Source organism: Homo sapiens, chromosome 20 (assembly GCF_000001405.40).
Source record: "Homo sapiens chromosome 20, GRCh38.p14 Primary Assembly".
NCBI lineage: Eukaryota > Metazoa > Chordata > Mammalia > Primates > Hominidae > Homo > Homo sapiens.
The window spans coordinates 33,695,796-33,721,766 of NC_000020.11; the positions used below are offsets into that span (position 1 = coordinate 33,695,796).

Below are 25,971 nucleotides of genomic sequence, written 5' to 3' on the forward strand. Positions count from 1 at the left end.
CTCCCCTCCCAGTGCTGTGGGTACCCTGGGATATGCTCATGCCTATCCTACCTCTGAAATCATGGCCATTTTGAACCTGATGCTAGATCTTTTTATTTTATTTATTTATTTATTTTGAGACGAAGTCTCGCTCTTGTCCCCAGGCTGGGGTGCAATTTCGCGATCTTGACTCACTGCAACCTCCACCTCCCAGATTCAAGCAATTATCCTGCCTCAGCCTCCCGAGTAGCTGAGACTACAGGCATGTGCCACCACGTCCAGCTAATTTTTGTATTTTTAGTAGAGATGGGGTTTCACCATGTTGGCCAATCTGGTCTCGAACTCCTGACCTCAGGTGATCTACCTGCCTCAGCCTCCCAAAGTGCTGGGATTACAGGCGTGAGCCACTGTGCCTGGCCAGATGTTGTTATTTAATGTGTTAAAGAAAGAACATGGCCGGGCACGGTGGCTCATGCCTGTAATCCCAGCACTTTGGGAGGCTGAGGCAGCGAATCAAGAGGTCAAGAAATCAAGACCAGCCTGGCCAACATGGTGAAACCCCGTCTCTACTTAAAATACAAAAATTAGCTGGGCGTGGTGGCACACGCCTGTAGTCCCAGCTAGTTGGGAGGCTGAGGCAGGAGAATCGCTTGAACCTGGGAGGCGAAGGTTGCAATGAGCCTCAATCGCACCACTGCACTCCAGCCTGGCAACAGAGTAAGACTCCATCTCAAAAATAAATAAATAAAAATAAAAAGGAGTGTCCTAAAGGAGCTGATGTGGTCTGGCCCTGATCCTTCTCCCAGCTGACATCCAGCCCACAAGGAGAAGCTGGAGGGAGAGGCCAGAAGAGCAATGAGAATGAGGTTTCTGTCGCAGACACTGGGACCCACACTTGCATTCCGCCTGGCTTCTGTCTTGTTTATTAAATTATGACATCTGCAGCAGCTTTGAGCACAGAGTCCCAGCACAGAAAACAGGTCCCCTCCGTTCAGAAGCCCTTTCTCAGAACAACACTCAGAAGAGAGCTCAGCTCTCCCTCTGTCTTCTTTATTTTTTAATTAATTTCATTTTTATTTTTTATCTAAAGGATTACATGATCATCATCTCCCTCTGTCTTCTATCTGGGCAGCACGAGAGTGGGTCCCACTCTACAGGGCACCCTCTGCTGAAAATCAAAACTTGCTCACCCCAAATGCCCTTCAAGGCTGAACTAAGACAAACTCTCCCCCTGTGAATCTGGAACGAGACAAGCGGAGGAAAAAAAATTTATTTTTATAAAGATCCTCAAATTTGTCATAGAAAGCAACCCATCTGAAGTCACAAATTGTGGTGACGTGGGCTTCGTTTTGAGAGGTTGAGTACAGCATGGTGTTCTGGTTTAGGAGAGAGCCACGTTCAAAGTCTGATTCTTATACACCCCAAATGCACTCATGGAGAGGTAAAAGTGAACAATGTGGAAGGAAACACTGTCACTAGAATCCCTTCTGCAGCTTCAGTGTGGAAGGCTGCAGCGGCGAGCATCAAACAAGGCAGCTTCTTGGCGTCTGGGCCTGTGAGTCACCGCGCTCACATGGGTTCACTTAGCATCTCTAATTTGGGAGCAGAGCAGCAGAAGAGGCCCAAATTAACTTGAGTTTTGTCCTTCCCCTTTTACTTGGAGTTCTGTGGGCCTGAATGCTTGGTGTCATCTACTGTAAGGCTCAGGACACCTGGGGCCATCGTCTTCACACTGATCACGGCAAGGATCTGCCCAAGATATTTGGGAGAGGAAGCTGTCAGGGGCGTAGGGGGAAAACAGGCTCAAAGAAAGGACTCACTTTTATATTGGATTATTGATCAAAGAGATCGCCGAACACACAGAGGACAAGGAAGAAATGCCAAAGAGTTGAGATGACATTGCAATGTAAAAGTTTCTTTTAAGATAAAAATAGGTGGCTGTGCATAGAATATTCCAGGAAGGCTGTATGAGAAAGTGCTAACAGTGGGTGCCCCAGCAAAGGAAGGGCCTAGGGATGCAGCACAGGTGTAGGAAGGAACCTGACTTTTCCCTGTTACACACTTTTTTTTTTTTTTCAGACAAAGTCTCGCTCTGTCACCCAGGCTGGAGTGCAGGGGTGTGGTCTCGGCTCACTGCAACCTCCACCTCCCAGGTTCAAGCGATCCTCCCAACTCAGCCTCCCAAGTAGCTGGGATTACAGGCGCACACCACCATACCTAGCTAATCTTTGTATTTTTAGTAGAGACAGGGTTTCACCATGTTGGCCAGCTGGTGTTGACCTCCTGACCTAAAGTGATCCGCCTGCCTCGGCCTCCCAAAGTGCTGGGATTACAGGTGAGAGCCACCATGCCCGGCCCTTTTCTTTGCAGGGGGCGGGGAAAGGGTCTCACTCTGTCACCCAGACTGGAGTGCAATGGCATGATCACAGCTCACTGCAGCCTCAACCTCCCGGGTTCAGGTGATCCTCCCACCTCAGCCTCCCCATGGTGTACATGCCACCATACCAGGCTAATTGTAATTTTTATAGAGACAGGGTCTCCCTCTTGCCCAGGCTGGTCTTGAACTCCTGGGCTCCAGCAATGAGCCTGCTTCAGGCTCCCAAAGTGTTAGGATTATAGCGTGAGCCACTATGCTGGCTATCAACTTTTTATAACTTTGAGTTTTGTACTATGTGTAGTATTGATTTAAAAATATTTTTTCTGCTCTCGCTCTCGCTCTCGCTCTCCCTCTCCCTCTCTTTCCACGGTCTCCCTCTGATGCCGAGCGGAAGCTGGACTGTACTGCTGCCATCTAGGCTCACTGCAACCTCCCTGCCTGATTCTCCTGCCTCAGCCTGCCGAGTGCCTGCAATTGCAGGCGCGCGCAGCCACGCCTGACTGGTTTTCGTATTTTTTTGGTGGAGACGGGGTTTCACTGTGTTGGCCGGGCTGGTTTCCATCTCCTAACCGCGAGTGATCCGCCAGCCTCGGCCTCCGGAGGTGCCGGGATTGCAGACGGTGTCTGGTTCACTCAGTGCTCAATGGTGCCCAGGCTGGAGTGCAGTGGCGTGATCTCGGCTCGCTACAACCTCCACCTCCCAGCCGCCTGCCTTGGCCTCCCAAAGTGCCGAGAGTGCAGCCTCTGCCCGGCCGCCACCCCGTCTGGGAAGTGAGGAGCGTCTCTGCCTGGCCGCCCATCGTCTGGGACGTGAGGAGGCCCTCTGCCTGGCTGCCCAGTCTGGAAAGTGAGGAGCGTCTCTGCCCGGCCGCCATCCCATCTAGGAAGTGAGGAGCGCCTCTTCCCGGCCGCCATCCCATCTAGGAAGTGAGGAGTGGCTCTGCCCGGCCGCCCATTATCTGAGATGTGCAGAGCGCCTCTGCCCCGCCGCCCCGCCCCGTCTGGGATGTGAGGAGCGCCTCTGCCCGGCCACAACCCCGTCTGGGAGGTGAGGAGCGTCTCTGCCCAGCCGCCCCGTCTGAGAAGTGAGGAGACCCTCTGCCTGGCAACCGCCCCGTCTGAGAAGTGAGGAGCCCCTCCGCCCGGCAGCCACCCCATCTGGGAAGTGAGGAGCGTCTCTGCCCGGCAGCCACCCCGTCCGGGAGGGAGGTGGGGGTCAGCCCCCGCCAGGCCAGCCGCCCCGTCTGGGAGGGAGGTGGGGGGGGGTCAGCCCCCCGCCCGGCCAGCCTCCCTGTCCGGGAGGGAGGTGGGGGGTGTCAGCCCCCCGCCCGGCCAGCCGCCCCGTCCGGGAGGGAGTTGGGGGGGTCAGCCCCCCGCCCGGCCGGCCGCCCCGTCCGGGAGGGAGGTGGGGGGGTCAGCCCCCCGCCCGGCCAGCTGCCTCGTCCGGGAGGTGAGGGGCGCCTCTGCCCGGCCGCCCCTACTGGGAAATGAGGAGCCCCTCTGCCCGGCCAGCCGCCCCATCCGGGAGGGAGGTGGGGGGGTCAGCCCCCCGCCCGGCCAGCCGCCCCGTCCAGGAGGGAGGTGGGGGGTCAGCCCCCCGCCTGGCCAGCCGCCTCGTCCGGGAGGTGAGGGGCGCCTCTGCCCGGCCGCCCCTACTGGGAAATGAGGAGCCCCTCTGCCCGGCCAGCCGCCCCATCCGGGAGGGAGGTGGGGGGGTCAGCCCCCCGCCCGGCCAGCCGCCCCGTCCAGGAGGGAGGTGGGGGGTCAGCCCCCCGCCTGGCCAGCCGCCTCGTCCGGGAGGTGAGGGGCGCCTCTGCCCGGCCGCCCCTACTGGGAAATGAGGAGCCCCTCTGCCCGGCCAGCCGCCCCATCCGGGAGGGAGGTGGGGGGGTCAGCCCCCCGCCCGGCCAGCCGCCCCGTCCGGGAGGGAGGTGGGGGTCAGCCCCCCGCCCGGCCAGTCGCCTCGTCCGGGAGGTGAGGGGCGCCTCTGCCTGGCCACCCCTACTGGGAAGTGAGGAGCCCCTCTGCCCGGCCACCACCCCGTCTGGGAGGTGTACCCAACAGCTCATTGAGAACGGGCCATGATGACAATGGCGGTTTTGTGGAATAGAAAGGGGGGAAAGGTGGGGAAAAGATTGAGAAATCGGATGGTTGCCGTGTCTGTGCAGAAAGAAGTAGACATGGGAGACTTTTCATTTTGTTATGTACTAAGAAAAATTCTTCTGCCTTGGGATCCTGTTGATCTGTGACCTTACCCCCAACCCTGTGCTCTCTGAAACAGGTGCTGTGTCCACTCAGGATTAAATGGGTCGGTGCAAGATGTGCTTTGTTAAACAGATGCTTGAAGGCAGCATGCTCGTTAAGAGTCATCACCACTCCCTAATCTCAAGTACCCAGGGACACAAACACTGCGGAAGGCCGCAGGGTCCTCTGCCTAGGAAAACCAGAGACCTTTGTTCACTTGTTTATCTGCTGACCTTCCCTCCACTATTGTCCTATGACCCTGCTAAATCCCCCTCTGCGAGAAACACCCAAGAATGATCAATAAAAAAAAAAAAAAGAATTTAAAAAAAAATATATTTTTTCCTCTCCCTCTCCCTCTCCCCACGGTCTCCCTCTCCCTCTCCCCACAGTCTCCCTCTCCCTCTCTTTCCACGGTCTTCCTCTGATGCCGAGCCAAGGCTGGACTGTGCTGCCGCCGTCTCGGCTCACTGCGGCCTTCCTGCCTGGTTCTCCTGCCTCAGCCTGCCGAGTGCCTGCGATTGCGGGCCGCACCGCCACCCCTGACTGGTTTTCGTATTTTTTTGGTGGAGACGGGTTTTCGCTGTGTTGGCCGGGCTGGTCTCCAGCTCCTGACCGCAAGTGATCCGCCAGCCTCGGCCTCCCGAGGTGCCGGGATTGCAGACGGAGTGCTCAGTGCTCAGTGGTGCCCAGGCTGGAGTGCAGTGGCGTGATCTCGGCTCGCTACAGCCTCCACCTCCCAGCCGCCTGCCTTGGCCTCCCAAAGTGCCGAGATTGCAGCCTCTGCCTGGCCGCCACCCCGTCTGGGAGGTGGGGAGCGTCTCTGCCTGGCCACCCATCGTCTGGGATGTGAGGAGCCCCTCTGCCTGGCTGCCCAGTCTCGAAAGTGGGGAGCGTCTCTGCCCGGCCGCCATCCCATCTAGGAAGTGAGGAGCGGCTCTGCCCTCCCGCCCATCGTCTGAGCTGTGGGGAGCGCCTCTGCCCTGCTGCCCCGTCTGGGATGTGAGGAGCGCCTCTGCCCGGCCGCGACCCCGTCTGGGAGGTGAGGAGTGTCTCTGCCCAGCCGCCCCGTCTGGGAAGTGAGGAGCCCCTCCGCCCGGCAGCCGCCCCGTCTGAGAAGTGAGGAGCCCCTCCGCCGGGCAGCCACCCCATCTGGGAAGTGAGGAGCGTCTCCGCCCGGCAGCCACCCCGTCCGGGAGGGTGGTGGGGGTCAGCCCCCGCCCGGCTGGCCGCCCCGTCCGGGAGGGAGGTGGGGGGGTCAGCCCCCCGACCCGGCCGGCCGCCCCGTCTGGGAGGGAGGTGGGGGGGTCAGCCCCCCGCCCGGCCGGCCACCCCATCCGGGAGGTGAGGGGCGCCTCTGCCCGGCCGCCCCTACTGGGAAGTGAGGAGCCCCTCTGCCCGGCCGCCACCCCGTCTGGGAGGTGTGCCCAGCGGCTCATTGGGAACGGGCCATGATGACAATGGTGGTTTTGTGGAGTAGAGGAGGGGGAAGGGTGGGGAGAAGATTGAGAAGTCGGATGGTTGCTGTGTCTGTGTGGAGGGGGGTGGACATGGGAGACTTTTCACTTTGTTCTGTGGTAGGAAAGGTTCTTCTGCCTTGGGATCCTGTTGATCTATGACCTTGCCCCCAGCCCTGTGCTCTCTGGAACATGTGCTGTGTCCACTCAGGGTTGGGTGGATTGAGGGCGGTGCAGGATGTGCTTTGTTGGGCAGATGCTTGAGGGCAGCATGCTCGTTGACAGTCATCACCACTCCCTAGTCTCGGGTGCCCAGGGACACAGACACTGCGGAGAGCCGCAGGGTCCTCTGCCTGGGAAGACCAGAGACCTTTGTTCACTTGTTTGTCTGCTGACCTTCCCTTCACTGTTGTCCTATGACCCTGCGGAATCCCCCTTTGCGAGAAACACCCAAGAGTGATCAATGGAAAAAAAAAAAAAAACAAAGAAAAAAGGAACAGAAGCAAATGTGGCAACATCTTGATAACTGTTGGAACTGGACGTTGGGTACATGGGGTTCATTAAACTCTTTTCTCTAAAAAAAAAAAAAAAAAATATTTTTTTAGGCTGGGCGTGGTGGCTCATGCCTATAATCTCAGCACTTTGGGAGGCTGAGGTGGGCGGATCATGAGGTCAGGAGATCGAGACCATCCTGGCTACCATGATGAAACCCCATCGCTACTAAAAAAAAATGAAAAAATTAGCCGGGCATGGTGGCAGGCGCCTGTAGTCCCAGCTACTCGGGAGGCTGAGGCAGGAGAATGGCATGAACCTGGGAGGAGGAGCTTGCCATGAGCCGAGATCGCGCCACTGCACTCCAGCCTGGGCGACAGTGCGAGACTCCATCTCAAAATATATACACATATATATTTATTTATTTATTTATTTATTTTAGTCTTACATGTCAAAAGAATTAACAGGATTGTAGCAGGTGTTTAGTAAGTAGAGGTTAAACCATTCTATTTCAGGAACTAGCATTTAGGAAGCATAGCACTTACTGTGCAACAAGAGCCCTCTGGCCATCCCTGTTTTACAGGTCTTAGAGAATGGAGGGCAGCTAGGAAGGAGCCAAATGGGACTCCTCTCAGATCTGCTGGAAGGCAGAGCCCTGCTCCCCGGCACAGACCACACTGCCTTCCTCCCTGGAGTGTGCAGTTGGAAGCACCAGATGCTCTAGCAGCATCCAGAGAGATGCCATCTGTGAGGGAAACCTATTCTTAGAGAGCAGAGACAGTCGGTAGCGGAGTTGGCCAACCCCCAGCAGCAGTGGCGGGACTTCAGGAGGGCAGGCGGCCAAGGTTTCACCTTCAGCTGGGGGCAGGACAGGCTAAAAGCAGGGTGTGCTCAGTCCTCAGGGGCACACTTCCTCTACATTTGGATGCTCTTAGAAATAACAGCATTTATTGGGGACTCACTTTAACTGTGTCATATTCTTTAACCCTCCACACCACTCGATGAGGTGTGTGCTACGACAACGCCTACTTTATCAATGAGGAAATAGAGGCACAGAATGGCTCAGTCACTTGCCCAAGGAAACTGTGGGGCCAGGGCTTGAGCCCAGGCACTCTGGCTCCAAAGCCTATGTCCCTGACCACCATGCTATATTGCCTCTCAACCTGCTGTACAGAGGCCAGTTTTAGTTTGGGTTCCCCCAATAGCAGACTCTAAGACAAGGGTTTGAGTGCAAGTGGTTCATATGGGAAGTGGTCCCAGGAAGCACTGGTAGGGGCATGAGGAAGGGAGATGGGGAGGGTGTTTGAGGCTCAGCCCTGCTGGGCGGCCCTGGGAGTCAGTGTGGAGCACGCACCTCTGAGTTATCCCACCCGAGGGGTGAGGGATGCGGGCTGTGGGAGTGGGGGTATTTATCAGTCATTGGTTGAAGGTTGCTCCAAGGATGTGTTCATTCTCCAGCCCTTCAGGCCTGCCAGAGGCTGGCAAAGGAGGCACCAGTGACAAGCTAGAGTCCTCAGGCAGAAAGACAGAGGGGCGGCCACTGGCAAAGCTGGCTAGTGTGCACCAGAGTCGTTATTTAGAGGAGCTATAGGCAGGGCACCCCCACCATCTGCTATAAAACCTGCCTGGTGATGGCCCAAGCCCTCTGCCCTCCCCAACCCCTAGAGCAGCAGTCCCCAACCTTTTTGGCACCAGGGACCAGTTTTGGGGAAGATAATTTTTCCACGGACCACTGGGGAGGGGACGTGGTTTCAGGATGATTCAAGCACATTGCATTTACTGTGGATTTTATTTCTATTATTATTACCTTGTAATATATAATGAAATAATTGTACAACACACCATAATGTAGAATCAGTGGGAGCCCTGAGTTTGTTTTCCAGCAACTAGACAGTCCCATCAAGGCGTGACGGGAGACAGTGACAGATCATCAGGCATTAGATTCTCATAAGGAGCATGCAACCTAGATCCCTTGCATGCGCAGTTCACAATAGGGTTTGCATTCCTACGAGCATCTAATGCCACCACTGATCTGACAGAAGGCAGAGCTCAGGTGGTAATGTGAGCAGTGGGGAGTGGCTGTACATACAGATGAAGCTTCGCTAGCTCACCCACCTTTCAACTCCTGCTGCGTGGCCTGGTTCCGAACAGGCCATGGACCGGTACCGGGGTTGCGGACCCCTTACTCTAGAGCTCATTCAACCTCCACAGCAAGTTAAAGGAACTTCATAATTACCTACTCCAAGTTTGCAGTAAATGTTGTGGCTGAAAACACAGCTTACAGAATCAGACTGATCCCACCTCAATTACCTAAGGGCTCTGTGACTCATTTGTCAGATGGGATAATAATGGACGGCTCCATATCATTCCCCACCCCCTTGTTACTCAGAGCAGCACCACTGGCAGCACCAGGGAGCCTGGGAGAAATGCAGACTCTCAGGCCCCACCCCAGCTCACTGAATCAGAAGCTGCATTTTAATAAGGTCTCCAGTGACTCCTGCATACATTTCTACTAGTAACTTCTAAAATATAGAAAGAGTGATGGAGTAAGTATATTAATGAAAGTGTATCTACCAGACCAATGGTCTCAAATTGGTAGCCCATGGACCAGATTTTCCTGGAGACTTGTTTGATTTGTCCAGGATTGTGTTTTTTTTTTTTTTTTTTTTTTTGAGACAGAGTCTTACTCTGTCACCCAGGCTGAAGTGTAATGGAACTATCTCGGCTCACAGCAGCCCCCCAGGTTCAAGAGATTCTCCCACCTCAGCCTCCCAAGTAGCTGGAATTACAGGTGCCTGCCACCATGTCCAGCTAATTTTTGTATTTTTAGTAGAGACAGGATTTCGCCATGTTGGCCAGGCTGGTCTCGAACTCCTGACCTCAGGTGATCCACCCGCCTCGGCCTCCCAAAGTGCTGGGATTACAGGTGCAAGCCACCGTGCCTGGTCTAGGATCGTGGTTTCGAAAAAAGCAGACTTGGCCAGGCATGGTGGCTCACACCTGTAATCCCAGCATTTTGGGAGGCCAAGGTGGGTGGATCATGAGGTCAGGAGATTGAGACCATCCTGGCTAACACGGTGAAACCCCATCTCTACTAAAAATACAAAAAATTAGCCGGGTGTGGTGGCGGGCACCTGTAGGCCCAGCTACTCCGGAGGCTGAGGCAGGAGAATGGTGTAAGTAAACCTGGGAGGCAGAGCTTGCAGTGAGCCAAGATCGCGCCACTGCACTCCAGCCTGGGCGAGAGAGCAAGACTCTGTCTCAAAAAAAAAAAAAAAAGAAAAAATCAGACTGGTACACAAGTCTCCAGTTCCCTATGTCCCCATCACTCCTCATCGCATAGCACTATGTCATTGTAGGCCCCTATGGGCATTTGAATGTGTACCCCTTTCTGGCCCATATCCTATAATGAGCTAACATTTGCATAGCATGGCTTAGGTTTCTAAATTTGAAACAAGGCACTGGAAAAAACATGGGCTTTGAAATCAGACGAATCTGAGTTCAAATCTTGATTCGGCTGTTATACTAGCTGTATTACCTTGGGCAAGTTACTCTCCTCTCTGATTCTCAGTTTCTTTTCTTTTCTTTTTTTATTTTTTTTTTAGACACAGTCTCGCTCTGTGGCCCAGGCTGGAGTGCAGTCGTGCGATCTCAGCTCACTGCAGCCTCTGCCTCCCAGGTTCAAGCGATTCTCCTGCCTCAGCCTCCCCAGTAGCTGGGATTACAGGGACGTGCCACCATGCCTGGCTAATTTTTGTATTTTTAGTAGAGATGGGGTTTTACCATGTTGGCCAGGCTGGTCAAGAACTCCTGATCTCAGGTTATCTGCCTGCCTCAGCCTCCCAAAGTGCTGGGATTACAGGCGTGAGCCACTGCACCTGGCCTGACCCTCAGTTTCTACATCTGTAAAATGGGGACGAAAACACACATTTGCAAGGCCACTGTATGGTTTAAAAATAATATGTGCAGGCTAGGGGCAGTGGCTCATGCCTGTAATCATGGCACTTTGGGAGACTGAGGCAGGAAGATTGCTTGAGGCTAGGAGGTCGAGACTAGCCCTAGTGACAGAGCGAGACCCTGTCGCTACTTAAAAAAAAAAAATAATAATAATATGTGGAAAACACCCAAGTGGAAGTATGAATGCACTAAATGAAAGTAATTAGTAGCACATCAGTGGTAGTTGCACAAGTCCAGTGAGGACCACGGCATTATGATTATCCTCATTTTATGATAAATTGAGGCTCTGAGAGGTCCAGAACCTTCCCCAAGGTTACACAGTGGGGGAGTGGGGACTCAAACCCATGTCCTCTAGCTCTAGATCTGCACTGTCCACTAGAATAATCTGTGAGGATACAAGTGTTCCATATCTGTGTTGCCCGTCACAGCAGCCACTAGCCACATGTGGCTACTGGGTCCTGAAAATGTGGGTGGCAAAATATACACCCAATTTTGAATACTTAATACAAAAAAGAGTACAAAATATCTAATGATGTTAATTATATGTTGAAATAACTTTTAGAAATTTGTGTTAAAATATATAGTGAAGATTAATCTCACCTTTTTTTTTTCTTTGGTGAGACAGGGTCTCACTGTCGCCCAGGCTGGAGTGCAGTGGCGTGATCTTTGCTCACTGTAGCCTCGACCTCATAGGCTCAAGTGATCCTCCCACCTCAGCTGGAACCACAGGTGATGGAACCCGGCTAATTTTTTGTATTTTTTGTAGAAACTGGGTTTCACCATGTTGCCCAGGCTGGTCTCAAGCTCCTGAGCTCAAGTGATCCACCTGCCTCAGCCTCCCAAAGTTCTGAGATTACAGGAGTGAGCCACAGTGCCCAGGCTTCTTTTTTGTAATGCAGCTACTAGAAACATTTTAATTACATATATGGCTCACGTGTTTCTATTGGACAGTGGGAATCTAGAACTTCTCCAGTAGAACAGCATCTGAGATAAGGAACTTAGTGTTTTTTAAAAAGTATTTACAACCCACTGCCCACCAGCAAGGAGCCCTCTGTGACATAAGAACAGTTGAAGAATGAACATACCCACCGGAAAGAGACCTCAGGGCCCTCCTCTGAGCTCCTTGACCCCTGAGGCCTAGAGAGTAGTGTGGCTGGCCCCAGTCTCACAGAAGTCAGCTGCACAGCTGGAACCAAGCCGTAGATTCCTCAGCCTGATTCGGCCACTTGTGCCACCATACAAAGGTACCCACTGGGATTTTAAAATCAGTGTTTTTACTTCAGCAAACGGAACCCTGGGATAACACCAGTTGGAGTCTGAGGCCTATGATCTTGAGAAGGCAGTATCCTTTGGGAGGGTCTGCATGGGGCCAAATCTTGAGCCACAGCCAGACACCTCAGGGCTGCATTAATTGGAGGGACGGCTCTTGTTATAGACGAGGAAGTCTGAGATGTCGTGCCATACATTGCTGTCCTCATAGAGGTAGGTCATGGAGGACTGCAGCGAGGGCTGCAGGGTGGATCGGTGATACTCAAAGAGCCACAGCACCAGCCCCCACACCACCGCAGTGAGCAGCGGGAACGGGTCCCACCTGGGTTCAGGGATGTAGCCCTTCTCTACAGCCAGGCGGCTCAGGGCAAACAGGACGCGTGACAACAGGTACATGTTGATCTGCAAAGAGGGAATGATGGGAATTACTGGTGATCAATAGTGATGTCCCTCTTTTGTTTTTGATATTAATAATTTGTTTCATTTCTCTTTTTTTCTTAGAGAGCCTGGCTAGGGGTTTATTTATTTTAATTATCTCTTCAAAGAATCAACTTTTGGTTTAGGTCCTTTTCTCTATTGATTTCCTGTTTGCAATTTCATTGATTTCTGTACTAATTTTTTTTTTTTTTTTCTGAGACAGAATCTGGCTCTGTCGGCTAGGCTAGAGAGAGTGGGCTTACTGGATCTCGGCTCACTGCAACCTCCACCTCCTAGGTTCAAGTGATTCTCCTGCCTCAGCCTCCGGAGTAGCTGGGATTACAGGTGGCGCCCACCATGCCCAGCTAGTTTTTATATTTTTAGTAGAGATAGGGTTTCAATGTGTTGGCCAGGATGGTCCTGAACTCCTGACCTCAGATGATCTGCCCACCTTGGCCTCCCAAAGTGCTGGGATTACAGGTGGGAGCCACAGCATTGGCCTGATTTCTGCACTTATTTTTATTGCTTCTTTTCTTCAGCTTACTTTGGATGTAGTTAAAAAAAAAAAAAAACTTTAGAGATAGGGTCTTGGTCTGTTGCCCTGGCTGTCTCAAACTCCTGGCCTCAAGCAATCCTCCTCAGCCTACCAAAGTGCTGGGATTATATGTGACAGCCAATAAAAATTATGGCTAAAAAATGGTAAAATTTTTTTTTCTTTTTTTTTGAGACAGAGTCTTGCTCTGTCACCCTGGCTGGAGTGCAGTGGCACGATCTTGGCTCACTGCAACCTCTGCCTCCCTGGTTCAAGCGATTCTCCTGCCTCAGCCTCCCAAGCAGCTGAGACTACAGGTGTGCGCCACCATGCCTAATTTTTTTGCATTTTTAATGGAAATGGGATTACCGGCATGAGCCACCATGCCTGGCCTAAAAATTATTTTTACAATTTAAAAATATTTAAGAAATTTGAGGGAGGCAAGTAGAGAGAGGCTGCCAACTTTTCAGGTTTCCAAAGAACATTAAAAAACAACTAGCATTCTGCCAGGTGTGGTGGCTCACGCTGCACTTTGGGAGACCAAGAGGGGGTGCATCATCTGAGGTCAGGAGTTTCAGACCCAGCCTGACCAATATGGTGAAACCCCATCTCTACTAAAAATACAAAAATTAGCTGGTATGGTGGCAGGCGCTTGTAGTCCCAGCTACTTGGGAGGCTGAGATAGGAGAAATGCTTGAACCTGGGAAGTGGAGGTTGTTGCAATGAGCCTAGATCGTGCCACTGCACTCCAGCCTGGGCAACAGAGTAAGACTGTCTCAACAAAAACAAAACAGAACAAAAACCCAACGACTAGCTTTTAGTCTCTTATTCATCATCATTTCATAACAAAAGCGAAGTTTAACCCAGAAAAAGGACAAGTCACAGAATGAGAGACAGTTTTTAGAGTGTATTAAGTTTTCTTTTATGAAAACCTTACTTCAGGGTCATTTTTTTCCCTCATTTCACTACAGAGTGATTTTTAAAAACAATCTTTGCCCCAGAGAGCAGCACATGCATTGATTTTTGGGAACCATGAAATTACAGATGGAAAAACTGAGAGGAAAGTGACCTTCCCAAGGTCACAGAGGGACTGGTGAGTCACAGAACTCAGACATGCAAAAGAGCCAAGAGCTTATCATCTTAATCACCTCCACCCCAACCTCTATACAGAACCAGGGCCCCCTCCTCTAGCCCCACCTCTATACAGAAACACGCCCCTCCACCCACCCCTACCTCTAGAATAAACCACGCCCCTCCCCACCCCCACCTCTACACTGAACCACGCCCCTTCACCCACCCATACTTCTACACTGAACCACGTCCCCTTCCCCCACCCCCACCTCTACACGGAACCAGGCCCCTTCCCCCACTCCCACCTCCACACTGAACCACGCTCTTTCCCCACTCCTAACTCTACACTGAACCACGCCCTTTCTCCCACTCCTACCTCTATACAGAACCACGCCCTTCTGCCACTCAAAACTCTACACTGACCCACACCCCTTCCCCCACTCCTACCTCTACACTGAGCCACGCCCTTGTCCCCACTCATAACTCTACACTGAACCACACCCCTTCCCCGACTCCCACCTCTATCCAGAACCACGCCCTTCCCCCACTCCCACCTCTATCCAGAACCACGCCCTTTCCCCACTCCTACCTCTATACAGAACCACACCCCTTCCCCCACTCCCACCTCTACAATGAACCACGCCCTTTCCCCCACTCCCACCTCTATCCAGAACCACGCCCTTTCCCCCACTCCTACCTCCATACAGAACCACACCTCTTCTCCTACTCCTACCTCTACACTGAATCACGCCCCTTCCCCCACTCCTACCTCTATACTGAAACAAGCCCTCTTCCCCAACCCCCTCCTCTACACTGAACCACGCCCCCTTCCGTCACCACCTCTGTACTGAACCACGCCCCCTTCCATCACCCCCACCTCTGTACTGAACCACGCCCCCTTCTGTCACCCCCACCTCTGTGCTGAACCACGCCCCCTTCACTACCCCCATCTCGGGAGGATCTTTACCTGGCTGTTGATGTTATTGTTTTCTCCAAACACCAGGATACCCCCGAGGAAGGCCGCCAGGAATGCGTGTGCTGGGTAGGTCTTGCCTTGTATGTAGGACTGCAGGGCACGGAGACCCTTGTAGGTGAACACAAACCGTGCCAGGTTCCAGGAGTGGATATATGTGGCCTGCAGTATGGCCCACAGCTTCTCCTGGAGGCTGCACAAACACAGGTGCCCCTGCCATGAGTGCAGGCTCAGCAGCCCCAAAGGGCTTTTACGCACTGGGCATGCCTAACAACCAGCCAAGGAGCTCGGAGTAATGCTCATTCAGTCACCGGCCTCTACCCTTCATGTTCTCTCCCTTGATTCAGGCCTTGACTCAGTGCCACCTCCCCAAGGAGACCCTCCCTGATCACCCTACAGAACAGAATACCCATCACATCCTGTCCTGACCCTAATTTTCTTTTCCTTCCTAGCTATGGTCACCAACCGACATTTATGTGCTTGTTTATTATCTTCCCTCACCCCAGTAGCAGCTATAGGAGGGTGGTGTCTGGATCTGGCTTGTTCATCTGCAGGGCTTGGCACGTAGTAGGTGCTTAATAAATGTTTTTTTGAGTAAACATGTGAAGGAGTGAGTGTCTGCCATGTGCTGGATGTGGGGGTACGATTCTGAGAAGAAACAGATCTGCTCGCCACCCTCAGGGGCTTATGATCTACTGGGAGAGGAAAATGTTAAATAAATAATCACAAAAAGAACTTTGACCTTGACAAGAGATGGCGCTGGGATCTTCCCGATGAGGAGGTCAAGAGGGGAGGAGAGCCACATCCCAGGCAGAGGGCTCAGCACGTGCCACGCCCGGAGGAGGGTCAGGGAGTATGAGGAAAGGAGCAGAGAGAAGCCACCGTGGCCATGGGCAGAGAACCAGAGAGTTTGTGGGGAGGGTGCAGGGCAAAGACAGTGGGGCCATGCTGAGTTTGGTCTTTATCCTGAGAAGTGAACATTTAGATAGAGGAGGCTATTCTTTTTATCTCTTAAAAATCACTAGAGGCCAGGTGCAGTGGCTCACACCTATAACCCCAACACTTTGGGAGGCTGAGCTGAGATGGTGCCACTGCATTCCAGCCTGGACGACAGAGACTCTACCTTAAAAAAAGAAAAAATTACTAGGAGGCCAGACACAGTGGCTCACACCTGTCATCCCAGCACTTCGAGAGGTCAACACGGGCAGATCCCTTGAGCCCAGGAGTTCCAGACCAGCCTGGGCAACATAATGAGACCTCGTCTCTATAAAAAATAGAAAAAATTAGCCAGGTGTGGTGGCACACGCGTGTAGTTCCTGCTACTTGGGAGGCTGAAGGAGGAGGTTTGCTTGAGTCTGCAGTGAACTGTGATTGTGCCACAGCACTCCAGTCTGGGTGACAGAGACCCTGTCTCTAAAAATTAAAAAAAAAAAAAAAAATCACTAGGGGGCAGGAAGGATAACACAGAGAAGGAGCAGAGTCTACTCCTCCCAATTCAGGAATGGCAAACTCAGGTGCTCTTAAGGCTAGACGAAGACCCTAAATGAGTGAGAGGGTCCACGGGGAAATCTTCCAGGTGACTGGGGACAGCCGGGAGCAGATGGCTCTCACCCCGCGCAAACACAGGCCCCAGTGTTGCCAGTTCTAAGGCAGGAAAGCTGGATTTCCATGTGGAATCTACCAGTTTTTAAATGTTGGCACTAACCCTGCCTTCAAAATGTGTCTAGAGACTGACCACTCTTCTCACCTGCACCAGCACCACTGAGGTCCAAGCCCGACATTTGCTCACTTGCATCACTGCCACAGCCTCTTGGAGGGAACCTGCTTCTGCCCTTGGGTGGCCCTGCTCCCCTCCCCCCACACCAATCTGTTCTTAACCTGGCAGCAATTTTTTTTTTTTTTCCTCTGAGATGGAGTCTAGCTCTGTTGCCCAGGCTGGAGTCCAGTGGCATGATCTGGGCTCACTGCAACCTCTTCCTCCTGGGTTTGAGCGATTCTCCTGCCTCAGCCTCCCGAGTAGCTGGGACTACAGGTGTGCAACATCACATCCGACTAATCTTTGTTTGTTCATTTATTTATTTATTTTGAGACGGAGTCTCACTCTGTGTGGCCCAGGCTGGAGCGCAGTAGCGCAATCTCGGCTCACTGCAATCTCCGCCTCTCAGGTTCAAGCAATTCTCCTGCCTCAGCCTCCCGAGTAGCTGGGACCACAGGTGTGCGCCGCCAAGCCCAGCTAATTTTTGTATTTTTAGTAGAGACGGGGTTTCACCATGTTGGCCAGGATGGTCTTGATCTCCTGACCTCGTGATCTGCCTGCCTCGGCTTCCCAAAGTGCTGGGATTACAGGCATGAGCCACTGTGCCCAACCTAATCTTTGTATTTTTCAGTAGAGACAGGGTTTTGCCATGTTGGCCAGACTGGTCTCGAACTCCTGACCTCAAGTGTACCACCTCGGCCTCCCAAAATGTTGGGATTATAGGCGTGAGCCACTGCGCCTGGCCTAGCAGCAAATTCTTAACTCTCACGCTGTTAACACATAAGTCAAATAATGGTGCAGCCCTGCTCAAAATCTTACAACAATTTCCCATTGCACTTAAAGGAAAAGCCAAATTCCTCTCTATGACCCAAAGCTGGAAAGGACCAACCCAGGTCAAGCTGTGACCCGCCTCTCTGTCCTCTCTCCCCTTCAGCCCCTCTGCTCCAGCCTCCTCACACTTATCAAGCAGGATCCTATCTCAAGGTCTTTGCACTGGCTATGCCCGTGGCCTGGAACACTCACTCTTTCCCCTCATATCCACCTGGACAACTCTGTCTCCTTCAAGTCTTTACTCCAATGTCACTTTCTCATAGCGGCCTTCCCTATTTAATTCTGCAACCTGTCCCCTCAGCACTTCTGATGCCCTTTCCCTTTTTCCCTGCTCTAATTTTGCTTTTCCATAACCATAGCACCTTCTAACATACCACAGACTCTCCTTACTATGTTTATTTTCTGCCACCCCCTGCTAGAATGTCAGCAGGAGTCACTGTCCGTTTTGTTCACTGCTGTATCCCCAGTACCTAGAACAGTGTCTGGCACATAGCAGATGCTCAATAAATATCTGCTGAATGAACACATGAGTTCAGTTTTTCAAAAAATGACTTGGAGGACAACAAAAACAAAATAGAAAAAAATAAATAAGATAAAAATACAAAATGAGCACATCTTGCAAGTTGGATTTGGCCTGGAGGCTGCCAGTGCATGATTCCTGTATGTTCCACATGAGCCTATATGCATTAAACACTAGACCGCAACCCGTTTTCTGAGAAGTGCCTTGAGGGAAGAGCTACGGGAGATGACAGGAAGGTGAAGATGCTTCAGCGAGAGACAAGAGATCAGGGAGCTTTGAGGAGGAAGTGATCCTCAGAGAACTGGTCTGGATTGCCAGGAGGGAAGTAAAGGTGGAGTGCGAGCCAAAGGCACTCCTGGCGGGGGTGCTGCGTGAGCAGATGTGTGCAGGTGGAGCTATACACATGGCATGTGCATGGAATGGCAGCGAGTTCTGTGTGCCAAGGGCACGCCAGGGTGGACACAACGGGGGTCAGCTGAGGCCAGACTGCAGAAGGCCCTGAAGGCCAGGCCTGGAAGCTGGGCTTCCTTGGAGGGCACAGGGAGTTTTCAAGCAGGGATAATGGGATCAGAGTTGGACTTTAGGGCCGGGCACGGTGACTCACACCTGTAATCTCAGCACTGTGGAAGGCCCCTGAAGTCAGGAGTTCAAGACCAGCCTGGCCAATATGGTAAAACTCCATCTCTACTAAAAATACAAAAATTAGCCAGGTGTGGTGGTGGGTGCCTATAGTCCCAGCTACTCAGGAGACTGAAGCAGGAGAATCGCTTGAACCCCAGAGGCGGAGGTTGCAGTGAACCGAGATCATCACCGCACTCTGACCTGGGTGACAGAGAGAGACTCCATCTCAACAACAACAACAACAACAACAACAAAACACAACAAAAAAAGAGTTGAACTTTAGAAGGCGTGATGGGGGGACAGGGTAGACCCAGCTAAGAAGCTATTACGACTGTCCTGGCACTGAGGGCTGACCACATTCTCTCCCAGTTTGAGGGATGTGTACCTGCCATTCCGGAAGAGAAAGGTCATGACCAGCGCGTGAGGGGCCCGGATTTTGGCTCCATAGCTGTAGAAACAGAAGAAAACAGTTACTATAATGTCACTGTGTCGCACTTTCTTTTTGGGCTGTCCTTTTGACCCCTTGTTCTCTCCCCCCATCCCAAATTCTAACACCACTTTGGGAGGGGAAATCATGCTGGATGCAAATCCTGGCTCTGATACTTCCTGGTAGTATGGTCTCAGGCGCGTCCTTTAACTTCTCTCAGACTCAGTTTCCGCACCATAAAAAGGGATGTTTATTTTTAATTATTTAGCGACAGAGCCTCACTTTGTCTCCCAGGCTGGTGTGCAGTGGTACGATCATAGCTCACTGCAGCCCTGAACTCCTGGAATCCAGCGATCCTCCAGCCTCACCTCCCTGAGTAGCTGAGACTACAGGTGTGTGCCATCACGCTCAGCATAAAAAGGGATGTTTTTTGTTTGTTTTTTGAGATGGAGTCTCACTCTGTCGCCCAGGCTGGAGTACAGTGGTGCAATCTTGGCTCACTGCAGCCTCGGCCTCCCGGGTTCAAGCAATTCTCCTGTCTCAGCCTCCCAAGTAGCTGGGATTACAGGCGCCAGCCACCATGCCAGGCTAATTTTTGTATTTTTAGTAGAGATGGAGTTTCACCATGTTGCCCAGGCTGGTCTGGAACTCCTGATCTCAGGTGATCCACTCACCTCAAAAAGGGATGTTAAACTTCAGAGGGCTGGTTGTAATTTTTTTCTTTTCTGAGACAGAGTCTCTCTCTGTAGCCCAGGCTTGGAGTGCAGTGGTATGATCTTAGCTTACTGCAACCTCCACCTCCTGGGTTCAAGCAATTCTCCTGGTTCAGCCTCCCAAGTAGCTGGGATTACAGGCACGTGCCACCATGCCTGGCTAATTTTTGTATTTTTAGTATGAGATAAGGTTTCTCCATGTTGGCCAGGCTGGTCTCAAACTCCTGAGCTCAGGTGATCTGCCCGCCTTGGCCTCCTAAAGTGCTGGGATTACAGGCGTGAGCCACTGTGCCCCGCCCCATAATTTTGATGGAAGGAGATGGTACATGTAAAAGGTCCACCATCCTTGCTCAACTGGCTTTGTGGAATTGCTCCCTCTGCTCCATCCTGACGTTCTCACTGCAGCCAGTCTCTTTTTTTTTTTTTTTTTTTTGAGACGAAGTTTTGTTCTTGTTGCCCAGCCTGGAGTGCAATGGCATGATCTCGGCTCACTGCAACCTCCGCCTCCTGGGTTCAAGCGATTCTCCTGCCTCAGCCTCCCGAGTAGCTGGGATTACAGGCATGTGCCACCATGCCTGGCTAACTTTGTATTTTTAGTAGAGACGAGGTTTCTCCCTGTTGGTCAGGCTGGTCTCGAACTCCCGACCTCAGGTGATCCGCCCACCTCGGCCTCCCAAAGTGCTGGGATTACAGGCGTGAGCCATCCTGCCTGTCCTAGCCAGTCTCATCTTTTAAAAACATCAATCTCATCACATCACTCCCAGCTTAAAATCCTCTAACACCTTTCCACTACTCACAGAACAAATTCCAAGCTCTTCCCTGCAGCCTTGAAAGTGCTATAGCCTTGGCCCCTGCTCACTGCTCCTACCTCACCCCAGGGCCCTCCTCTGCTGCTCCAGCCACACTGTCCTTCCTGGACTGCATCTGACACATCAGGTTCTTCTCTGCTCCTGGCTTTGGCCTGGCAGTTCCTACTACCTGGCGTGCTCCTCCCCAGCCACCTTCCCTCAGCCTTCCGGTCTCAGCTGGGCCCTCTGCAAAGGCCTCCTGATGCTCCAGCCTAGGTTTGAGCAATTTTTCATTGCCACAGATCCCAAAACTTCTCTCCAGCACTTCATCTTCCCAATTTAATGACTCGGTTATTCAGTATTTATTCTATTATAATGATCTCTTTCCTGTGCTAGACTGTGGGCTCTGTGAAGACAGGGAATGTGTCTGGCTTGTCATCTGCATAGTCCCTAGCATAGTACCCCACATGGTACCTGACATATAACATGTGCTTGATAAATAACTGTTGACTGACCGATGCCAGAACACCCCTTACCCATGACAATGTCATTTCTAGAAGGTTCTGTCTTCAGCTTAGCTCATCTTAAAGTTAACAGATTCCCTAAAACAGCTGTTAGGTAACACTGTACCTATTCAAAATGTACCTCTTTCTAACTATTATACAAAGAAGGACCTCAACTTTGTAAAAATGCATTTATAAAAAGGCTGGCACTTTGGGAAGCTGAAGTGGGCAGATCATTTGAGGTCAGGAGTTTGAGACCAACCTGGACAACATGGTGAAACCCTGTCTCTACTAAAAATACTACAAAAATTAGCTGGGTGTGGTGGCAGGCACCTGTAATCCCAGCTACTCGGGAGGCTGAGGCAGGAGAATCTCTTGAACCCAGGAGGCAGAGGCTGCAGCGAGTTAAGATCGTGCCACTGTACTCCAGCCTGGGCAGCAGACTAAGACTCTGTCTCAAAAACAAAAATAAAATAAAATAAAAAACTGGAAGGAAATATGCCACTGTTATTAGCAATGCCCACTGCACTGGAGGAATATATAATAGATATAATTTATTTTTGCTTGCTTTTTAAACTTTTCTAGACTTCCAGAATTATCTATGATTAAGTACTGCTTTTAAAATTATTAAATATTTTAGGCCGGGCGCGGTGGCTCACGCCTGTAATCCCAGCACTTTGGGAGGCCGAGGCGGGCGGATCACGAGGTCAGGAGATTGAGACCATCCCGGCTAAAACGGTGAAACCCCGTCTCTACTAAAAATACAAAAAATTAGCCGGGCGTAGTGGCGGGCGCCTGTAGTCCCAGCTACTTGGGAGGCTGAGGCAGGAGAATGGCGTGAACCCGGGAGGCGGAGCTTGCAGTGAGCCGAGATCGCGCCACTGCACTCCAGCCTGGGCGACAGAGCGAGACTCCGTCTCAAAAAAAAAAAAAAAAAAATTATTAAATATTTTAAATGTTACATAATTGTTACATAATTGCCTCTTTTTAAGATTCAAACCTCTTCCCCCACCCTTCCTTTCCCCTCCTCATTTAGGGATCTAGGAATGACGTGAACAAGACCATGTTTACTTTCATTGTTTTAACTATACTCAGATGAATAGTAGAAAGACAGTGGTATTTGGGCCAAAGCCCTGCCATGTTTTGCTATGTGAGCTTGGATAAATTAGTTAACCTCTCTGAACCTCCCTTTTCCCATCAACAAAAGGTATTCTCCATTTTACAGAATGGCTTTTGGCAGTTACGCACATATAAAAGTTCCTAGGTCAATCAATATTAGTGTCTCTTCTTTTCTTACTCTTCTTTATTGGACACCTCCACCCCTACCCCTATCCCTAAGTTCTCCAGGTACCCAACCCTGGTCTTACCAGGCTACAAGGTCTAAAAATCCTGACAGCCTCCTTGAGACAATGGTCATGAGCCACATACTATTGTCTCCCCAAATATACATGAATGTTCACTGCAGGCTTGTTTGAAAAAACAAAAGACTGGAATCAAACCTGTGTCCAAGGCTGGGTGTGGTGGCTCACGCCTGTAATCCCAGCACAATGGGAGGCCGAGACAGGCCGATCACGAGGTCAGGAGATCGAGCCCATCCTGGCTAACACGGTGAAACCCTGTCTCTACTAAAAATACAAAAAAATTAGCCGGGCGTGGTGGTGGGTGCCTGTAGTCCCAGCTACTCAGGAGGCTGAGGCAGGAGAATGGTGTGAACCTGGGAGACGGAGCTTGCAGTGAGCCGAGATTGCGCCACTGCACTCCAGCCTGGGCAACAGAGCGACACTCCATCTCAAAAAAAAAAAAAAAAAAAAAAAAAAAAAACTTGGCAAAAGGGTTACTGATGTTATCTCAGGGCACATCAAGGATATGCCCTTGGCCAGACCCAGTGGGAACCAGTTCTACCTGACTCTTGAGTGTCCATGGGAGCCAAGAGCCTGGCACTGGTGCCAGGCATCCTTGGGTTTGAATCCCGGCTCCAACCGTGACCAAGTGCTGTGGCCACGAGCAATGGGTCTACCTCTGAGCTACAGCCTTTTCATCTGGAAAATGGGGACAATGGCAATTCTGATCTTGCACACTTATTCATTCATTCAATAAATATTTCAGAAACTACTAAATACCAGGTGCTAGTAATACACCAAGGAACAAAATAGATAAAGTTATGGCCTCATGAAACTTTCTTTTTTTTCCTTTTGAGATGGAGTTTCACTCTGTCACCCAGGCTGGAGTGCAGTGGCACAATCTCAGCTCACTGCAACCTCCACCTCCTGGGTTCAAGCGGTTCTCCTGCCTCAGCCTCCCATGTAGCCGGGACTACAGGCATGTGACACTACACCCGGCTAATTTTTGTATTTTTGGTAGAAACGGGGTTTTGCCATGTTGGCCAGGCTAGTCTCGAACTCCTGACCTCAGATAATCCGCCTGCCTCGGCCTCCCAAAGTGCTAGGATTACAGGTGTGAGCCACCGTGGCCAGCCTGTGCTAAGCATTTCACACATATTGACTCAATCCTGATAGTATAAGTACTAGTACCATGCCCATTTTACAGATATTGAGGCTTAGAGAGGCTAAATGACTTCCTCCAGATCACACGGGTAGGTGGGGCCAGGGTTCAAGCCAAGGCATCCACATCCTTCCCACCATCCCACGTTGCCACTAGGATGCCAATTCTGGGGGACACAAACCACTTTCTCTGGTTTGTTCTCTGCTTTGTCCCCGGTTCTGGCACTGTAGGCCCTCAATAAATGGTGGCTGTTATGCACTAGGTTTAAAGGAGACTGAGCTCCCCTCTAGGCACCAGCCAGGGCAATGACCCCAAGACCTCTCTTGCAGGTAAGATGCCAGGATAGTTGCAGCTTCTTTTACATTCATTGTCACGTCCCAGGAGCCCCCTGAGCCGAACGGGACTTAGCGCTGGAGTCCTACAGGTGAGAAGTGAGAAGCAGGATGCAAGCCCATGGGCAAGCTTCATGGGGACAGAATAGACAGGAGGCATCCGCCTGCCAGCTAGAGGCCAGAGTCCAGTTCCCCATTGTGCAGATGGGGCCGTTGAGGCCCAAAGGCACACAGAGAGGTGAGGTGAACTGAACCCAAATGAGGGGATACAGAAGCTGGCATGGGAGGAGTCAAAGCAAGAGGGCCAGGCTGCAAAGGTTGGAAGACCCAGAAAATGTGCAGTGGGAGCCCCAGTTCAGAGCTGGGAAGGCGCGCAAGCCAAAATCCAGCTCCCATTGCACAGATGGTGACCTCCGAGACTTAGAGACACACGAGGACTGCTCCAGGGCAAACAGCACCGCGGCATCGGACTTCGAACTCGCGCCTCTGACCCCAGGCAGGACATCCCTCAGCCCCAGCCCGGCCCGACGGCCCCACTCACACAGCCCCGTTCCGGAAGCCCTTAAGCACGGCCAACGCAGCGTGGTAGCGGCGCTTGCGCAGCAGTGCGTTGACGACTACGAGCAGAGCCCTTAGCTGCGGCGGGGCTGCCATAGTGCGGGCTGCGCGCAGGGTCGGGGTTAGGAACTGTAAGCGCACTGACAGCCGGAGGTTCCAGCTGCGCGCCCACAGCCCCTCGGTAGCGCCGCCGACTCGTGGCGTCTATAGGCTGTTTCTGCGTCACTCATGCATGGAAGACCAATCAGAGAGCGTACTTGTCTCATGGGACAATAGCACTCATCGAAATAGTTGTCTGACTGGAAGAGAAAGGAAAGCTTGTAGCCAATCACAGTGGGCTCCGCCCAAGGTCACACACGATTTGTCCAATCAGAAGGCACTTTCCCTTGGGCCATGTTGGGTTCACGAGTGGGTTTGGAAGGAGGCGTGTACTTGGAAGGAGGGCTCCTGAATGAGGAGTGGCCCTGCTTAGAGATGGGATGGGCGACAGGTGATGATACAGGGAGGAGCAGGGCCCCATCTTTATGCGAGATAGTTCTGACTGGGATATCCTTTACCATAGCGATCTTCCCAGAGTGTCAGTCACATGGCCCCTCAATGGCTTCCATGTACGTATGTATGTTTTGAGATGCAGCCTCGCTCTGTCACCCAGGCTGGAGTGCAGTGGCGCGATCTCGGCTCACTGCAACCTCCACCCCCCAGGGTTCAAGCAGTTCTCCTGCCTCAGCCTCCTGAGTAGCTGGGACTACAGGCACCCACCACCATGCCTGGCAAATTTTTTTGTATTTTTAGTAGAGACGGGGTTTCACCATGTTGGCCAGGCTGCTCTCCTGACCTCAGGTGATCCACCTGCCTCGGCCTTCCAAAGTGCTGGGATTACAGGCGTGAACCCAGCCGGCGTCCACTTATTCTTAGAATCCAAACTCCTCCCCAAGGCCCAAGAGAGAAGACCTCCTGTGATCTGGTCCGTGCCTCTCCCTCTGACCCCACGTTCCAGCACTTGCCACCTCACTGCTTCCCAGCCAAACAGCCTCCTTTCTGTTCCTTGGGCCAAGAACCCTTCTACCTCAGGGCCTTTGCACTTGCTGGTTCCCTGCTTGATATTCGCCATCCTGGGCTCTTCCCATGATGGGCTTCTTCTCATCCTTCAGGTTTCAGCTCAAATGCCACTTCATCAGAGAGACTTTCTGAGACATCCAATTTGAAGTAGCACTGTCCACTCTGACTCATTACCCTGGCTCTTTTTTTTTTTTTTTTTTTTTTAGACTGAGTCTCGGATCTATCACCCAGGCTGGAGCGCAGTAGTGTGATCTCAGCTCACTTCAACTTCTGCCTCCCAGGTTCAAGGGATTCTTCTGCCTCAGCCTCCTGAGGAGCTAGGACTACAGGTGCATGCCACCACGCCCGGCTAATTTTTGTATTTTTAGTAAAGACGGGGTTTCACCATATTGGCCAGGCTAGTCCAAACTCCCGACCTTGTGATCCGCCCGCCTCGGCCTCCCAAAGTGCTGGAATTACAAATGTGAGCCATCGTGCCCGGCCACCCTGGTTCTTATGTGTTTTTTTTTTTTATAGAACTTTTGACACTTTAGACTTGTTTACTATGTGTTCATTGTCCATTGCCCTTATCAAACTGTAAATTCTATGAAGGAAGA

General features: G+C 51.8%; 1 protein-coding gene across 2 annotated transcripts, besides 3 other annotated features; it reads right to left on the minus strand.

Annotated features, from left to right (window-relative positions):
• Nucleotides 4,071–4,781: an enhancer, noted in NCBI's record as "NANOG-H3K27ac hESC enhancer chr20:32287672-32288382 (GRCh37/hg19 assembly coordinates)". NCBI's record gives its function as "activates a minimal SCP1, AML or CMV promoter by ChIP-STARR-seq in primed H9 embryonic stem cells {active_cell/tissue: H9 hESC(primed)}" and the evidence as "EXISTENCE:reporter gene assay evidence [ECO:0000049][PMID:30033119]".
• Nucleotides 4,782–5,493: an enhancer, noted in NCBI's record as "NANOG-H3K27ac hESC enhancer chr20:32288383-32289094 (GRCh37/hg19 assembly coordinates)". NCBI's record gives its function as "activates a minimal SCP1, AML or CMV promoter by ChIP-STARR-seq in primed H9 embryonic stem cells {active_cell/tissue: H9 hESC(primed)}" and the evidence as "EXISTENCE:reporter gene assay evidence [ECO:0000049][PMID:30033119]".
• PXMP4 (peroxisomal membrane protein 4) lies at nucleotides 6,963–24,515 on the minus strand. 2 transcript variants are annotated; one of them, NM_007238.5, is made up of 4 exons: nucleotides 24,300–24,515; nucleotides 18,879–18,941; nucleotides 14,760–14,958; nucleotides 6,963–12,174 (listed from the first exon to the last, which is right to left on the minus strand). In NM_007238.5, the coding sequence occupies exons 1-4, from the start codon at nucleotides 24,410–24,412 to the stop codon at nucleotides 11,911–11,913; spliced, it is 639 nt and encodes a 212-aa protein (NP_009169.3). In that variant the 5' UTR covers nucleotides 24,413–24,515; the 3' UTR covers nucleotides 6,963–11,910. The 2 variants fall into 2 exon arrangements, with proteins under 2 accessions (NP_009169.3, NP_899634.1); NM_183397.3 differs by lacking the exon at nucleotides 14,760–14,958.
• Nucleotides 24,062–24,111: an enhancer, noted in NCBI's record as "active region_17741". NCBI's record gives its function as "activates an Ori minimal core promoter by ATAC-STARR-seq in GM12878 lymphoblastoid cells {active_cell/tissue: GM12878}" and the evidence as "EXISTENCE:reporter gene assay evidence [ECO:0000049][PMID:35858748]".
• Nucleotides 24,516–25,971: the final 1,456 nt, after the last annotated feature.

Excerpts from the sequence above, each read along its gene's own strand:
- PXMP4 (NM_007238.5), bottom strand. The coding sequence starts at position 24,412 with ATGGCAGCCCCGCCGCAGCTAAGGGCTCTGCTCGTAGTCGTCAACGCA. Across the intron at positions 14,959-18,878 it reads TTTCTCTTCCGGAATGGCAG|CCTCCAGGAGAAGCTGTGGG; the intron begins GTACACATCCCT and ends GTGTTTGTGCAG. Across the intron at positions 12,175-14,759 it reads ACAATAACATCAACAGCCAG|ATCAACATGTACCTGTTGTC; the intron begins GTAAAGATCCTC and ends CCCTCTTTGCAG.